The sequence below is a fragment of the Homo sapiens genome, chromosome 4, assembly GCF_000001405.40.
Source record: "Homo sapiens chromosome 4, GRCh38.p14 Primary Assembly".
NCBI classification, from domain to species: Eukaryota; Metazoa; Chordata; class Mammalia; order Primates; family Hominidae; genus Homo; species Homo sapiens.
In genome coordinates, this window is record NC_000004.12 from 123,044,778 (window position 1) to 123,062,624 (window position 17,847).

At 37.9% G+C, this 17,847-nt stretch overlaps 1 protein-coding gene across 17 annotated transcripts in view; it reads left to right on the forward strand.

The window, feature by feature from the left end:
* The window catches only part of AFG2A (AAA ATPase AFG2A), a 396,356-nt gene that overhangs the window by 121,700 nt on the left and 256,809 nt on the right, over window positions 1-17,847 (forward strand). For 15 of the 17 annotated variants that reach the window (NM_001438322.1, NM_145207.3, NM_001437913.1 and 12 more), the window contains 2 exons: window positions 11,610-11,663; window positions 12,432-12,511. The exons of the other annotated variants lie outside the window; for them this stretch is intronic. In NM_001438322.1, the coding sequence (NP_001425251.1) occupies window positions 11,610-11,663; window positions 12,432-12,511 (134 nt within the window). The remainder of the gene's footprint in view (window positions 1-11,609; window positions 11,664-12,431; window positions 12,512-17,847) is intronic. 17 annotated transcript variants of the gene reach the window in all.

Here is a 17,847-nt window from a genome sequence, read left to right on the forward strand (position 1 = left end):
TTTTGTCAATCTTTTTTGTTTCTATGCTTACTTTGAATGGTTGTTCTGTCTCCAAATTTACTGATTTTTTTCTTCAGCTTGTAAGCTTATTTAGTGCACTTTAAAATTTCCAATATTATATCTTTTAGCTGTAGAAGCTTCATTTGGTTCTTTTTATGTTTTCTATCTTTTCCTCATAATTTTAATGTTTTCCTTAAAATTCTTTTTTGTCTTCTTCTTTTTTTAAAAATTTCTTTTGGCCAGGTCAATAACTGCATAGTGTTTTCCTGAAAATTTTTGAAAATATTTACGATACCTGTTTTTAAGATCTTGTTTGCCAATTTTATCACTTCTTTTATTTCTATATCTATTTGTATTGAACTTTTTTTCTCCAATGTTTTTATATTTGGATCAAGTTTTTGTTTCTTCTATTTCTTTAAGATCTCTAAACTTTACAGAAAATTTGCAAGAACAGTCACAAACATTTTTTTCTTCAACCATTTGAATTTAGTTGCTGCCATATGCCCCATCACAGCTGAATACTTCAGTGCGTATTTCTACAAAATCAAATTCTCTTACATAACCACAGTGTAACCATAAAATTAGAAATGAGCATTATTATTGTCACTCAAGTTTTGTCAGCGGTCCCAATAATTTCCTTTATGACAAAATAAGTTAGTCCAGAATCATGTGTTGCATTTATTTGTCACATCCGTGAAGATTTCTTCAGTTGGTAACAGTTTCTTCAGTCTTCTTTACTTTAGTGACCTTGACATTTTTGTAGATTACAGGGTAGTTATTGTGAAAAATATCCTTAAATTGAGATTTGCATGACATTCCCTCATGATTAGATTTAGGTTATTCTTAGAAAGGATGCTGCATTCTTCTCATTGCATTCTATCAGGTGATACTTGATTTTAACTTGTCGTATTTCTAGTGATGTTAACTTTGATTATGGTGGTGTCAGCCAGGCTTCTTCATTGTAAAATTACTCTTTTTCCTGTTAAGTTAATATTTTGTGGGAAGTTATTTTGGGACTATATAAATATCCTGTTTTGGCCGGGCGAGGTGGTTCATGCCTGTAATCCCAGCACTTTGCGGGGCTGAGATGGGTGGGTGACCTGAGGTCAGGAGTTTGAGACCAGCCTGGCCAACATAGTGGAACCCCGTCTCTACTAAAAATACAAAAATTAGCCAGGCGTGGTGACATATACCTGTAATCCCAGCTACCTCAGGAAGCTGAGGCAGGAGGATCACTTGAACCTGGGAAGCAGAGGTTGTAGTGAGTGGAGATTGCACCACTGCCCTCCAGCGTGGGTGATAGAGTGAGACTCCATCTCAAAAAAAAAAAAGAAAGAAAGAAAAAGAAATAAATACCCTATTTCTTAAGAGATTTTTAAATTTATTTCGTTTTTATGGGATCATAAATTCCTTTCTATTCAGTGGTTTATGATTTCTCAGTATCACTATTTGTACTGATGTCTCAGTTGCACCAGTTTGGCTAGCAGGCCCTCTTTTAAGCTGTCTTTTGTGTGCTCTTGGCATTAATTAATCGCAGATGGAAAGTCAGTTGTAACTCTGTGCAGCTTTGACATTTTACATAGCTGAGTTAATAAAGTGCTTAGAACAGTTCATGGCACATAGTCAAGGTTCAATATATGTTAGTACTTATGATTGCAATTATACATTTTTTATTTTAATCATTTTGGAGTACAGTATTTTTAATGAGCTACGCATTTATTTTTGTATTTTTTATTGGTGTATCATAGTTGTACATATTTTGCAGGCACATGTGATATTTTGATGTGTATACAATATGTACTGATCAAATTGGGATAATTGGAGTCTTCATCACCTCAAACATTGATCTTTTCTTGGTTTCGGGAACATTACAATTCTCCTCTTTTAGTTATCTTGAAATATGCAGTAAATTGTTGTTAACTATGATGTCTCTACTGTACTACTGAATACTGGTACTTACTCCTTCTAACTGTGGTTTTGTACCCATTAGCCAATTTTTTTTCATCTCCCTCCTCCTCTCTTCCCTCCTCAGGCTCTGGTAACCACCATTCTACGCTTTACCACCATGAGATCCACATTTTTAGCTTGCACATATGAGTGAGAACATAAAGTATTTGTCTTTTCTGTGCCTAGCTTATTGCACTTAACATAATGACCTCTCATTTTATCTGCGTTGCTGCAGATGACAGGATCTCATTTTTTTAATGGCTAAATAATAATTGATGAACACTTAGGTTGACTCCATACCCTGGCTGTTGTAAATAGTGCTACAATAGACATAGGAGTGCAGATATCTCTTGGAAAGACTGCTTTCCTTTTTTTTGGTAGTAAACCCAGTAGTGGAATTGCTAGATCATATGGTAGTTCTGTTTTTAGTTTTTTGAGGAACCTCCCCACTGCTTTCCGTAAATGGCTATACTAATTTACATTCCCATCGACAGTGTACACATGATTTCCTTTCTCTGCATCTTCTCCAGCATTTCTTATTTTTGTCTTTTTGATAATAACCATTCTAACTTGCATAAGATAAGAGATCATTGTGGTCTTGATTTGCATTTCCATGATGATTATGATGTCGAACATTTTTTCATATAGTTATTGGCCATCTTTCTTTTGCGCATTTTTTTATTGGATTATTTATATTTGCTACTGAGTTGTTTGAATTCCTTTTGTTATTCTGGTTATTATTTCTTTGCTGAATAGGTAATTTGCTAATATTTTCTCTCATTCTGTAGATTGTCTCTTCACTTTCTTAATTGTTTCCTTTGCTGTGCAGACACTGTTGAGGTAATTTGTCTTTTTTTTTGCCTTTGTTACCTGTACTTTTGAGGTCTTGCCCAGACCACTGTTGTATAGCATTTCCTCAGTGATTTCCCCAAGTTTTCTTCTAGTAGTTTCATAGATTCAGGTCTTATGTTTAAGTGCTTTTTTTTTTTTCCTTTTGAGACAGGGTCTCACTCTGTCACCCAGGCTGGAGTGCAGTGGTGTGATCTTAGCTTACTTCAGCCTTGAACTCCAGGGTTCAAGCAATCTTCCTTTCTTAGCCTCCTGAGCAGCTAGGAATACAGGTGTGAACCACTACACCTATTTTTTTAAATTATTATTATTGTAGAGGTGGGGTCTTGATATGTTGCGCAGGCTCAAACTTCTGGCCTCAAGTGATCCTCCCACCTCTGCTTCCTGAGTTGCTGGGATTACAGGAGTGAGTCATGTGCCTAGCCACATTTAAGCCTTTAATACATTTTGAATTGATTTTTGTTTGTGGTGAAAAATGTGGATTTAGTTTCATCCTTCTGCATATGGATATTTACTTTTTCCAGTATCATTTATTAGAGACTGTTCTTTCCCCAGTGTGTGTTCTTGATGCCCTTGTCGAAAATGAGTTGACTGTAATGAATGTGGATTTATTTCTGGGTTCTCTCTTTTGTTTCATTGGTCTGTGTGCCTGTTTTTATGCCAGTACCATGCTGTTTTATTACTGTAGCTTTGTAGTATAATTTAAAATAACTTTGTTTTATGCTTCCAGCTTCGTTCTTTTAGCTCAGGATTGCTTTATCTACTCAGGGTCTTGTGTGGATCCATATGAAATTTAGGATTGCTTTTTCTATTTCTACCAAAGAATGCCCTTGGTATTTTGATAGGGATTGAGTTAAATCTGTAGATTGCTTTGGGTAGTGTAGACATTTTAACAATACTTATTCTAATTCATGAGCATGGGATATCTGTTCATTTTTTATGTGTGTCCTCTTTAGTTGTTTTCATCAATGTTTTATATAGTTTTCCTTGTAGAGATCTTTGACTTCTTTGGTCAAAGAAAATTTATTCCTAGGTTTTTGTTTGTTTGTTTTGAAGTTATTGTAAGTGGAATTGCTTTCTTGAGTTCTTTTTCAAATTAATTGCTATTGGTGTATAGAAGTGCTACTGATTTTTGTATGTTGATTGTGTATCTGGGAATTTACTGAGTTCATTAGTTCTAAGAGTCTTTTGGTGGAGTCTTTAGGTTTTTCTACATATGAGATTATGTCATCTGCAAACAAGCACAATTTGACTTCTTCCTTTTCAATTCGAATGCCCTTTATTTCTTTCTCTTTCCTAATTTTGGCCAAAACTTGCAGTATTATGTTGAATAGAAGTGGTGAAAGTGGACATCTTTGCTTTGTTTCAGATCTTGGTGTAAAGGCTTTCCATTTTTCCCTGTTCCATATGATAGTAGCTATGGGCTTGTCATATATGCCCTTTATCAGATTGAAGTATGTTCCTTCAATACCCTGTTTATTGAAGGTTTTTATCATGAAGGGATGTTGAATTTTACCCAGTTTTTTCAGCATCTGTTGAAATGATCCTATGGTTTTTGTCCTTGATTCTGTTAATGCAGTGTTCAATGTTTATTGATTCGCATATGTTGGTTCATCCTTGCATCCCTGGGATGAATCCCACTTGATTGTGGTGAATGATCTTTTTAATGTATTATTGAGTTTGGTTTGCTAGTATTTTTTGAAGATTTTTAAATCTGTGTTTATCGGGGATATTGATAGTTTTTTTTATTTGTTTTGTCTTTGGTTTTGCTGTCATGGTAATGCTGCCTTCATTGAATAAATTTGAATGTATTCTCCCTTCATTTTTTTTGAAATATTAATAATTAGCAGAATTTATGTTAATTCTTTAAATGTTTGGTAGAATTCAGCAGAGAAGACATCAAATCCTGTGCTTTTCTTTGATGGGAGACTTTTTATTGCTTCAATCTTCTTGTTATTGCTTTTCTGTTTTTTTCATGGTTAAGTCTTGGTAAGTTGTGTCCAGGAATTTATTCAATTCTTTTAGATTTTCCCATTTGTTGGAGTATAGTTGTTCATAATAGTTTCTAATGATCCTTTGTATTTCTGTAGTATCAGTTGTAATTTTTTCTTTCTCTTCTCTGATTTTATTTATTTAGGTGTTCTTTTTTTTAGGTAGTCTAGCCAAAGCTTTGTTGATTTTATGGTTTCAAAAATCAGCTTTTCATTTGTTGATCTTTTATTTTTTTAGTCTGAATTTCATTTATTTCTGCTCTTTATTATTTGTTTTCTTGTAGTAATTTTGGGTTTGGTTTGTTCTTGCTTTTCTAGTTCCTTGAAGTACATTATTAGATTGTTTCTTTGAAGTCTTCATATTTCTTTGATTTGGGTGTTTAAGGCTTTAAACTTCCCTCTTAGTACTGCTTTTGTGTATCTGTAGATTCTAGTATTTTGTGATTTATTTCACTGGTTTCAAGAAATTTTAAAATTTTCTTTTTTTTTGGTGGACTCATTGGGCATTCAGAAATATGAACTGTACAGAAACTGTACAGTTTCCAAAGTTGTTCTTGTTACTGATTTCTAGTTTTTGTTGTGGTGGTTGTGGTCAAAAAAGATGCTTGATATGATTTTGACTGTTTTGAATTTGTTGAGATTTATTTTGTGGTTAATGTATGGTCTATCCTGGATAATGTGCCATGTGCTGATAACAAGAATGTGTATATTCTGCAGCAGTTAGATGAAATGTTCCGTAAATGTCTGTTAGGTCCACTTGGTGTATAGTTTAACTCCAATGTTTGTTTGTTGATTTTTTGCCTGAACTGTTTGTTGCTCAAAGTGGGGCATTGCGGTCCCCTGCAATTATTTTATTGCAGTCATTGCAGTCTGTCTCTCTCGAGAGCTATTAATATTTGCTTTATATATTTGGGTGCTCCACTGTTGGGTGCATGTTTTTAATTTTGTTATATCTTCTTGCTGATTTGACTTTTCTAAATCATTATATAATGACTTTCTTTGTCTCTTTTTACAAGTTGTGACTTAAAATCTGTTTTATCTGATATAAATATAGCTACTCCTGCTTTTTTTTGGTCTCCATTTGCATGGAATATCATTTTCCATTCCTTCACTGTTAGTCTATATGTGCTGTTAGAGGTGAAGAGAGTTTCTTCTAGGCAGCATATAGTTGTGTCTTTTTTTTTTTTTTGGAGATGGAGTCTCGCTCTTTCGCCCTTTCGCCCAGACTGGAGTGCAGTGGCACTCTCTCGGCTCACTGCAACCTCTGCCTCCTGGGTTTAAGCGATTCTCCTGCCTCAGCTTTCTGAGTAACTAGGATTACAGGCACCTGCCACCACGCCCAGCTAATTTTTTTTTAGTAGAGATGGGGTTTCACCAAGTTGGTCAGGTTGGTCTCAAACTCCTGACCTAGCGATCCATCCCAGCCTCCCAAAGTGCTGGGATTACAGGTGTGAGGGTCTTGTTTTTTAATCCATTCAGCCACTCTTGGTCTTTTTTAACTAGAGAATTTAGTCTATTTACATTCAATTTTAATATTGATAGGCAAGGCCTTACTTTGACCATTTCGATACATTTTTTTTTTGGTATTATGTAACTCTTCTTTTCGTTTCCTTCTTTCTTACTGTCTTCTTTTGTGGCTGAGTGATTTTTCTCTGGTAGCATGTTTTAATTTGTTCTTTTTTATTTTTAGTGTATATATTATAGTTTTTAGCTTTGTAATTACCTTGAGTCTTATAAAAATATTATATTAATTATTTCAAACTGGTACCAACTTAACTTTGATTGCAAGATAAGAAACAAATGAAAAGAAAAATTTGTACACCTTAACTTCCTCTCCTCCAACATTTTGAATTTTTGATTTTACAACTTGCTGTTTTTATATTGCCTCTTAACAAATTGTACTTGTAATTATTTTTAATTGTTTTGTATTTTCTTTTTACTAAAGATATAAGTGATTTAAGAACCATGATTATCATATTAGTATAACAATAACGTTAATGTTCTTTTCTTTTGGTTTGAAGAACTCTGATTAGCCTTTTTTATAGGACAGGTCTAGTAGTGATAAATTTCCTCAGCTTTTTTTTTTTTTTTTTTTTGGCCTGGGAAAGTCTTTATCTGGCCTTTATTTCTGAAGGATAGTTTTGCTGGGTACACTATTCTTCGTTAAGTTTTTTATTTTCTTTCAGCATTCTGAATAATTTCACTCCCTCCAACCCTAAGGTTCCCACTGAAAATTCTGCTGCCAAGTGTATTGGATCTCCCTTATATGTTATTTGTTTCTTTTCCTTTGCTGCTTTCAGGATCCTTTATCTTTGATCTGTGTGAGTTTAATTATAAATCTTGGGTTGTTTCTTATTTTGGAGAGGGAAAGTTGAGCCTGGTTGGTGACCTTTAACCTTCATGTACCTGGATATTTATATCTTTTCAAGCTTTGGAAAGTTTTTTGTATTTCTTTGAATAAGCTTTCTACCCCTTTGTCTTTCTCAGTTTTTTTCTTTCATTTCAGTAACCTGAATATTTGTTCTTTTGATGTTGTCTCATAGCTCCCATAAACCGTTCATTTCTTTTCATTCCTTTTGCTTTTTTCTCCTCTGACTGTGTATTTTCAAATAGTTGGGCTTCAAGCTCACTGATTCTTTCTTCCTTTTCATCAGTCCTGCTGTTGATATTCTCTATTCCATTTTTCATTTTGCTCATTGTATTTTCCAGCTCCACAATTTTTGTTTGATTTTGTTTATGATTTCAGTATCTCTGTTAAATTTCCCTGATACATTTCTGAATCGATTCCGTCTGTTTTCTTGAAGTTCATTGAGCTCTCTTAAAACAGGTATTTTGAATTCCTTGTCTGAAAGGTCACATATCTCTATCACTTTAGGGTTGGCCTCTGGTGCCTCATGTCCATTTGTTGAGATCATATTACCCAGAATCTTCTTGATGCTTGTGAAATTGCAGGCTGTCTGTGCATTGAGGGATTAAGTATTTATTTTACTCTTCACAGTCTTCCTTTGTTTGTGCCTGTCCTTCTTTAGAGACCTTCCAAGAATTCTAAGCCAACTGAGTATTGTGTTTCCTGAGCCTGTGACCACTTCAGCTATCTAAACACTAGGAGACTGTATTAGGGTTCTCCAGAGGGACAGAACTAATAGGATTATGTGTATATGAAAAGGAGTTTATTAAGGAGAATTGACTCACATGATCACAAGTGAAAATCCCACAGTTGGCCATCTATAAGCTGAGGAGCAATGAAACCAGTAGTGGCTCAGTTCAAGTCCCAAAGCCTCTAAGGTAGGGAAGCTGACAGTGTAGCCTTCAGTCTGTGGCTGAAGGCCTGAGAGCCAATGGCAAACCACTGGTGTAGGTCTGAGAGTCCAAAGGGTGAAGAATCTGGAGTTTGATATTCAAGGGCAGGAAGCATCCAGCACAGATGAAAGCCAGAAGACTCAGCAAGCCGGCTTATTTCATCTTCTTCCACCTGCTTTTTCTAGCCACACTGGCAGCAGATTGGATGGTACCCACCCAAACTGAGGGTGGGGCTTTGTCGCCCAGTCCACTGACCCAAGTGTTAATCTCCTCCGGCAACATCCTCATAGACCCAACCAGAAACAATATTTTGCATCCTTCAGTCCAATCAAGTTGACAATTAATATTTACCATCACAGAGACTCTCTGAGCCCAGGCTTGCCACAAATCTCACAGGATCTCTTTGGTTGATATGGCTTTCTGGCCCAGATGGACCTGGGGTAGACCCAAGGCAGATACTCCGGCTGCGTGGAAATGCTGGCCAGGGATCTGAGTCCAGAAGACTGTCCCAATCACCCAGATGAGTGTGCCTTTCAGCATATTTCTGCACAGGCAGGATGGGCTGCTAACTGCAGTGAGAGGGCCTGGAGTTGAGACTGGGCTGCGTTGGGATCTGCTGTGTGAAGGAGACTGGCCCCGACTTATTTGCTCATATCAGCATGCATCACTCAGCTGGTCATTGCAAAAGTGCTTGACTGTAACAGGGGGGTCTGGTACTGAGACTGGGCTCCCTTGGAATCTGCTGTGGGATGGAGGTTGGTGTTCTTGTCACATTGGCTCAGATGGGCATGTGTCTCCCAGCAGGTCCGTACATAGATGGGATAGCTCCCAGACTGCAGCAGGAGGGGCTGGAGCTAAGACTGGGCCCCCTTGGACTCTGCTGTAGGGACGGATTTGGAAAGCTTGTCTTGTTGGCTCAGAGTGGCATGCATCTCCCAGCAGGTCTCAGCACAGATAGGATAGTTCCTCTACTGCACTGGGCGGGGCTTAGACTGGGTCTCCTCAGGATATGTTGTGGGATAGAGGCTGGTGAGCATGTCGGGGAGGATCAGAGTCCCAGGCCATGAGATTTGTGTGAATCTCCCCCTGGTTTCTTGTGTAAGCAACTATAAGCTGGGACCTCAGCTAGGGAGGCCTGGAGCAGTGTCACAGTTCAACTTCCAGGTTCACTACTGAGACCAGTTATCAGTGGGCTGATGAGCTTTTCTGCCAAGGCATTAGTGTGCATGATTTCTCTGAACCCTTTGGCAGATGATTTTGGTTGCAGGCTCAAGGTCAAATGGGGCTATAGTCAAGCCCCTTGAGAGACAGGGCTACTTCTGGGCTTGAATGCAAAAGCAAGCTCAGTGGAGCAGATCAGTCACTTGGGTGTTAGTGTACCCTCTCAAAGTGACCCTCCTGTGTCTTAGGGTTTCACAATTGTGGATGGATGGATAATTCTTTTTATTGTGGGCATATATGAGCAGGTTACCTTCTATTTCGCCATCTTGGTGGTGTCACTCTATGAACTACATACTTAAGAGAAATTGCTACACAGAATATATTGAGCATCCTTTTTTTTTTTTATGAATTAAGTCATTATCGTGAACATCAAAAATAGTAATGTTACTTTGGGAGGCCGAGGCAGGCAGATGACGAGGTCAGGAGATTGAGACCATCCTGGCTAACACAGTGAAACCCTGTCTCTACTAAAAGTACAAAAAATTAGCCGGGTGTGGTGGCGGGCACCTGTAGTCCCAGCTACTTGGAAGGCTGAGGCAGGAGAATGGTGTGAACCCAGGAGGCGGAGCTTGCAGTGAGCCGAGATAGCGCCACTGCACTCCAGCCTGGGTGACAGTGCAAGACTTCATCTCAAAAAAAAAATTAGTAATGTTAAGTCAAATTTGAATTATTCTACACCCCACTCTCATCTTCACATTTTGCTATCCACAACACATTAATTTTATATTTTTAATTGTTTTTGTGGCTATCTTCTCATTTCCATTGCACTCCTTTGCCTTAAACTTGTTCCTCATTATTTTTCCCCTTTACTATTCTAAGCATTTTATAACTGTTCTCTCGACTTCTGGACTCTTAATATTCCTCCTAAACATCGTTTATACTGTGGCCAGAATCATCTTTCATTAATACCTCTGTTATCACTTAACTTTCATAAAACCCTTCCTATTGCTTACACGATAAAATCTGAACCCCTGCCTCCCACTTTAAGTAGCTTTATTGATTGCCACAATCTCCCTGCACCCTATGATTCACGTGTAGTAAATTCTTATATCAGTTCTGTTCAAGTGTATTCATTGTATGTAATTTAAAAGTCAATGAACTCAGCGTAAAGACCTTAAGAGCTCTTCTACAACAAAGTTCATATAGTAACATCTATTTTGGCTCATCAGAGACCTTTTTGATTTCTTCCTGGGTCTTGATGTATTTCATATTTTTGAGGATGTGAAATAAATCAACTGAGGACTAACCTGAAATGTTACTTTCTCTAGGAACATTTCTTGACTCTAAGGAGTTTCTTCTGTATGTTTTGATGGTACCTGTGCATTGCTCTATCATAGTACTTGTCATACAGTATGCTAATTTTCCTTGTAATATGGTGTTTTATATGAAGCCAAATACTGCCCATACCAGTTTGGGATTAGTTAACATTCTGCTAGGGTTTGCCTTTGTGTTTCAGTCAGTCAGATTTTTAAAAATTAATATAAATTGTTTAGGAAATACTTAAGTCAGTGTCTTGTTACATCCTCGGAATTGGCTGGACCCGTGATCTGCATGGAATAGAATATGAATCTTGTTCAAAGTAAGGGGTGTGTGTATGTGTTTGTGCATGCATGCATGCTCGTGCGCACACACAGAGAGAGGGAGAGAGAGACACACACACATGTCTCTTGTTCTTCGGGATGTATGAGGAACTGTGTCAGAATAGCCAGATGCTCGGAGAAACATCCCCACAACTGAGGTCATCTATCATTATGGGACAATTTAATTCATAACTTCTTGTGGTGACTGTTTATCTTAAGAGAGTAGATATGTATGTGGTAAAAAAGAAAGTCTGCTGTGTTTCTTACAATATTTGATATTCTAGGTACTTGAGAAATAAGAAATATTAAAGTTCAGAAATATTAATGTCAAAAAATGTGCATCTTCAGATCTGGTAAGTAGACCTGCTTAGAGCTAGCCAGTGGTTAGGCCTGAGAAATGGCTGTTCCATCTTCTGTGCCTAGCACCACATCTGATATAGTGTAAAAATGTGGATAGAGTTATAGACAGATGATGAATAAGTTGTTAAAATATTATGATTAGTCACAGCCTTTCCTTTGTATTGATGTGTGGTTTTTGGAATGTAGAATGGCTTTAACTTTTAAGGCACAAATAACAAACAGAGAAAATAAGCATGCTAAAGGGATTAATAAGCAGATTTTGTTTATTTTCTCTTTTGTGTATATTTTTTCTACTTCATTGGAAGAAATATACATGATTGCATTTATAAAGACACTGAACAGTTGTTTTCTTTTCATGCAGGGGCCTGAATTAATGAATAAATATGTTGGTGAATCTGAAAGAGCAGTTAGAGAGGTAAGAAATTGTGCCTTTAGTGGCACTCAGCACAGGAGAATCACACTTCTGTCCTGTGCAGCTTCCCTTTTGTTTTAGGTAACAGACTTTGGCATTTCCGAAGTCAGATCTTAGTGGTATTTTTTTTTCTTCAGGTAAATATTATTTTATTATTTAAAAATGCAGTTTTGATCATCTGCAATACTTCAGTTTTGTTTTTAAACATCATATTACCAGCCCTTTTAAAACTATCATTTTTTCTGATAATAATAGCCAGCATTTCTGTTAAAATAGTTAATGCTGTTACTAATAGTTAATAATACCTATCATTTATTGAGCTCTTACTGTTTCAGGCATTGTGCCAAATGCTTTGTGTTCTTTTTAAAATTCAATTATTAAAATAACTTTCTGAGGTAGGTGTTTATTATCTCCATTTTATAGATGTAGAAATCGAGGCTTACAGAAGTGAAGTTAACTGCTGAAAGTCACACAGTTACTAGTAGTGCAGCTGGGATTTTAACTGAAATTTTCTGATTGCTTAACTGAATTGCCTCCTTCACACCTATGTGAATATGTATTGATAGTCTTGTCTCTTTAAGCACTATTGAAGGGGATACTTTTACATCCATTATAAAGTTCTGAACATCTATTACAAGGTCTATACAAAGTGACTGGGCTTGTTGACTTGTACCTAATAGGTTTGGTTCTAAATATAGTTTTAAAACAAACCAACTACAGAATTTTCTAGTGTTTGCTCATCTTTAGCTAATGTGGCACTCTTTCCACCAGACCTTCCGAAAAGCAAGAGCAGTGGCGCCTTCCATTATTTTCTTTGATGAACTGGATGCCTTAGCAGTTGAAAGGGGCAGGTAAGAAGTATTTAATAGCACTGCTATTACATAATAATATGATGTTACATAATAATAGCAATTATGGTATAAATAGCATTTTGTATACAACTTTTATCTATTAATACATTTGGCCTAAAAAAGTTTTCAGTTTTTGTAATTTTTTCCTCTTATACCCATTAAATTATTTCATGTAATTACTGTATAGTACTTTTATCTATATTGGATAAAAACCACTGATACCTGTCTGGGCATTTGAGTTAATTTTTATAGTTTATATCAACACATACTTCTTAGTATTGTCTATCAAAATTAGGGTTATTGTAAACATATAATTAAAACTGTAAACAAAACTGGATTAATCATAATTACTTCTTGTAGTAGAACAAAATTATAAAATACGTTACACAGATTTTAAAATTCTCTGGAATAAATGTTTCCTAAAGTAAAATTAAATAGAATATAAATTAGTATTAATAGTTTTGCTCCAAAATCTCAGGCAGTAAAGAGGATTATCTATGATGTCATTTCAAACAAATATATACACACACACACACACACACATCAGAACTGTTCATAAGTATGTTTTTTTCCTCTACAAATGTATAGCGGTCCTTTAATATGTTCTACAAGTGGTTCATGTTGGGTAATGTAAATTCATGTACTTTGTGCATAGCTTCTTGATGTGTATATTGATTATAAAATTTTTGCTGGTGGTAATTACAGTGAAGGGTGAAGACAACTTACAGGTGTCAGTAGTAAGTGTGATATGAAACATTGCTGTTATCATCCTTCTTAATTAGAGCTGCCTCATGTGATGAGAGTATAAATTGTCATTAGGAACCTATCATTAGGAGGTAGACTGCTATATTAGTCCATTTTCGTGCTGCTGATAAAGACATACTCGAGACTGGGTAATTTATAAAGAAAAAGAGGTTTAATGGACTCACAGTTCCACGTGGCTAGGAGACCTCACAATCATGGTGGAAGGCGAAAGACATCTCTTAGGTGGTGACAGGCAAGAGAGAATGAGAGCCAAGTGAAAGGGGAAACCCCTTATAAAACCGTCAGATCGGGCTGGGCGCCGTGGCTCACGCCTGTAATCCCAGCACTTTGGCAGGCCGAGGTGGGCGAATCATTTGAGGTCAGGAGTTTGAGACTAGCCTGGCCCACATGGTGAAACGCTGTCTCTACTAAAAATATAGAAATTAGCTGGGCGTGGTGGTGGTTGCCTGTAATTCCAGCTACTTGGGAGGCTGAGGCAGGAGAATTGCTTGAGCCCAGGAGGTGGAGGTTGCGGTGAGCTGAGACTGCTCCATCGCACTCCACCCTGGGCAACAAGAGCGAAACTCCATCTCAAAAAACAAAACAAAACAAAAAATCAGATCTCGTGAGACTGATTCACTACCATGAAAACAGTATGGGGGAAACCACCCCCATGATTCAGTTAATCTCCCACTGGGTCCCTCCCACAACATGTGGGAATTATGGGGGCTACAATTCAAGATGAGATTTGGGTGGAGACACAGCCAAACCATATCATTCCGCCCCGGCCCCTCCAAATCTCATGTCTTCACATTTCAGAATCATTCATGCCTTCTCAACAGTCCCTCAAAGTCTTAACTCATTTCAGCATTAACTCAAAAGTCCACAGACCAAAGTCTCATCTGAGACAAGTCAAGTCCCTTCCACCTATGAGCCTATAAAATCAAAAGCAAATTTGTTACTTCCTAGGTACTATGGGGGTACAGGCATTGGATAAATACACCCGTTCCAAATGGGAGAAATTGGTCAAAATTAAAGGGCTAAAGGCCCCATGCAAGTCCAAAATCCAGCAGGGCAGTCAAATCTTTTTTTTTTCTTTTCTTTTTTATTTTATTTTATTTTATTTTATTATTATTATACTTTAAGTTTTAGGGTACATGTGCACAATGTGCAGGTTAGTTACATATGTATACATATGCCATACTGGTGTGCTGCACCCATTAACTCGTCATTTAGCATTAGGTATATCTCCTAAAGCCATCCCTCCCCCCTCCCCCGACCCCACAACAGTCCCCCGAGTGTGATGTTCCCCTTCCGGTGTCCATGTGTTCTCATTGTTCAATTCCCACCTATGAGTGAGAATATGCAGTGTTTGGTTTTTTGTTCTTGAGATAGTTTACTGAGAATGATGATTTCCAATTTCATCCATGTCCCTACAAAGGACATGAACTCATCATTTTTTATGGCTGCATAGTATTCCATGGTGTATCTGTGCCACATTTTCTTAATCCTGTCTATCATTGTTGGACATTTGGGTTGGTTCCAAGTCTTTGCTATTGTGAATAGTGCCACAATAAACATACGTGTGCATGTGTCTTTATACCAGCATGATTTATAGTCCTTTGAGTATATACCCAGTAATGGGATGGCTGGGTCAAATGGTATTTCTAGTTCTAGATCCCTGAGGAATCGCCACACTGACTTCCACAATGGTTGAACTAGTTTACAGTCCCACCAACAGTGTAAAAGTGTTCCTATTTCTCCACATCCTCTCCAGCACCTGTTGTTTCCTGACTTTTTAATGATCGCCATTCTAACTGGTGTGAGATGGTATTTCATTGTGGTTTTGATTTGCATTTCTCTGATGGCCAGTGATGGTGAGCATTTTTTCATGTGTTTTTTGGCTGCATAAATGTCTTTTTTTGAGAAGTGTCTGTTCATGTCCTTTGCCCACTTTTTGATGGGGTTGTTTGTTTTTTTCTTGTAAAGATAGTCAAATCTTAAAGCTTCAAAATGATCTCCTTTGATCCATGCCTCACATCCAGGTCACACTGATGCAAGAGAGGGGTTCCCATGGTCTTGGGCAGCTCTGCCTCTGTAGCTTGGCAGGGTACAGCCTCCCTCTGGCTGCTTTCACAGGCTGGTGTTGAGTATCTGCAGCAACATGGTGCCACAGGCACATGGTGCAAGCTGTCAGTAACCTACCATTCTAGGGTGTGGAGGATCGTGGCTCTTTTCTCACAGCTCCACTAGGTGGTGCCCCAGTGGGGACTCTGTGTGGGAGCTCCAACCCCACATTTCCCTTCCACTCTGTCCTAGCAGAGGTTCTCATAAGGGCCCTGCCCCTGCAGCACACCTCTGCCTGAACATCCAGGGATTTCCAACATCTTCTGAAATCTAGGCGGAAGTTCCCAAACCTCAATTCTCGACTTCTGCACAACCGCAGGCTCAACTCCATGTGGAAGCTGCCAAGGCTTGGGGCTTGCACCGTCTGAAGCCATGGCCCAAGCTGTACCTTGACCCCTTTTAGCCATGCCTGGAGCGGCTGGGATGCAGGGCACCAAGTCCTGAGGATGCACTCAGCAGTGGCAGGGGGGGCCCTGGACCTGGCCCAGAAAACCATTTTTCCCTCCTAGGTTTGCAGGCCTGTGATGGGAGGGGCTGCAGGGAAGGTCTCTGATCTTCCCTGGAGACATTTTCCCCATTGTCTTGGCATTAGCATTTGGTTCCTTGTTACTTAAGCAAATTACTGCAGCTGGCTTGAATTTCTCCCCGGGAAATGAGTTTTTCTTTTCTACTGTATCTTCAGGCTACAAAATTCCAAACTTTTATGCCTTGTCACATCTTGACTGCTTTGCTGCTTAGAAATTTCTTCCACCAGATATCCCAAATAATCTCTCTCATGTTCAAAGTTCTACAGATCTCTAGGGCAGGGACAAAATGCCACCAGTCTCTTTGTATAGCAAGAGTAACATTTACTCCAGTTTCCAACATGTTCCTCATTTTCATCTGAGACCACCTCAGCCTGGATTTTATTGTTCCATATTGCTGTCAGCATTTTGGTCAAAGCCACTTAACACGTCTCTAGGAAGTTCCAAATTTTCCCACATCTTCCTGTCTTCTGAGCCCTCCAAGTCTCTAGGAAGTTCCAAACTTTCCCACATTTTCCTGTTTTCTTCTGAGCCCTCCAAACTGTACCAACCTTCACCTGTTACTCAGTTCTAAAGTTGCTTCCACATTTTCAGGTATCTTTACAGCAGCACCCCACTCTACCGTTACCAGTTTACTGGATTAGTCCATTTTTATACTACTATGAAGAAATACCCAAGACTGGATAATTTATAAAGAAAAAGAGGTTTAATGAACTCATTAGTTCCACATCGCTGGGGAGCCTCACAATCATGGAGGAAGGTGAAGGAGGAACAAAGGCATGTCTTACGTGGTGGCAGGCAAGAGAGCTTGTGCAGGGCAACTCCCCTTTATAAAATCATTAGATCTTGTGATGCTTATTCACTACCACAATAACAGTGTGGGGGAAACCACCTCCATGATTCGATTACCTCCACCTGGCCCTGCCCTTGACACATGGGGATTATTACAATTCAAGGTGAGACTTGGTTGGAGACACAGTCAAACCATACCAGCTGCCCTGCTTTCCACCCCCCTCACATTTGGTATTCCATGAATACTTACCAGTCTTTTTGCTTTGTGAAGTGAAGCACTCAAGCCCTTTTATTACTTACGTTTTAAGATGGCACAGAGTGTTACAAAACTCAGGTTTACCTAACTACAAGAGAAGAAAAGCCAGAGAATTTTGCTGAAGTAGTGTGACCTTCCACAGTTATGTGACATCAGAGACATCTGGTTTTGGACCCTAAAAAGGAACAGGTGGGAGGGATATCCTGTTAAATATGAACCAGATGGGAGGTAGAATATGTAGCAAAGTTCTCTTAAAATGTCTCTGAAATAAAGTGATGTGAGAAACCAGACAAGGCACTTTGTAGTAATATCTTGCTTTCATAGGAGTTTAGCTCAGTAGGAATTACCAGATACATAAGAGATGCTAATGATTTGCAGCTTCTAGATGTTATTTCCTCTGGTAGTCTTCATCAAATTGAACTTTTCAGAGAACACATGTGTTTAGTGTATACCTCCCTCTCTCAATGGCTCGTCATGTGTTACTTAATGAAGGGAGGCAGTTTACATACTGAGAAATTCAGTCATTAGTCAATTTCATTGTTATGTAAACATCATAGAGTATACTTACTTATAAACCTGGATGATGTAGCCTTCTACACTATATACCATATGGCCTATTGCTAGATAGTATAACAATCATCTGCAGTACTTTGATTTTGTTTTTAAACATCATATTACCAGCCTTTATTTTTATGAAATAAAGATTTTTTTTAAAACTATCATTTTTTTCTGATAATAATGGCCAGTATTTCTGTTAACATAGTCAATGTTGTTACTGTTACTTAATCATACCTATCAATTATTGAGCTCTTACTATGTAAGATATATATAGCAATAAGCCATATGGTATAGCAATAAGTCATATGGTATAGCAATAGGCTATATTACCTATA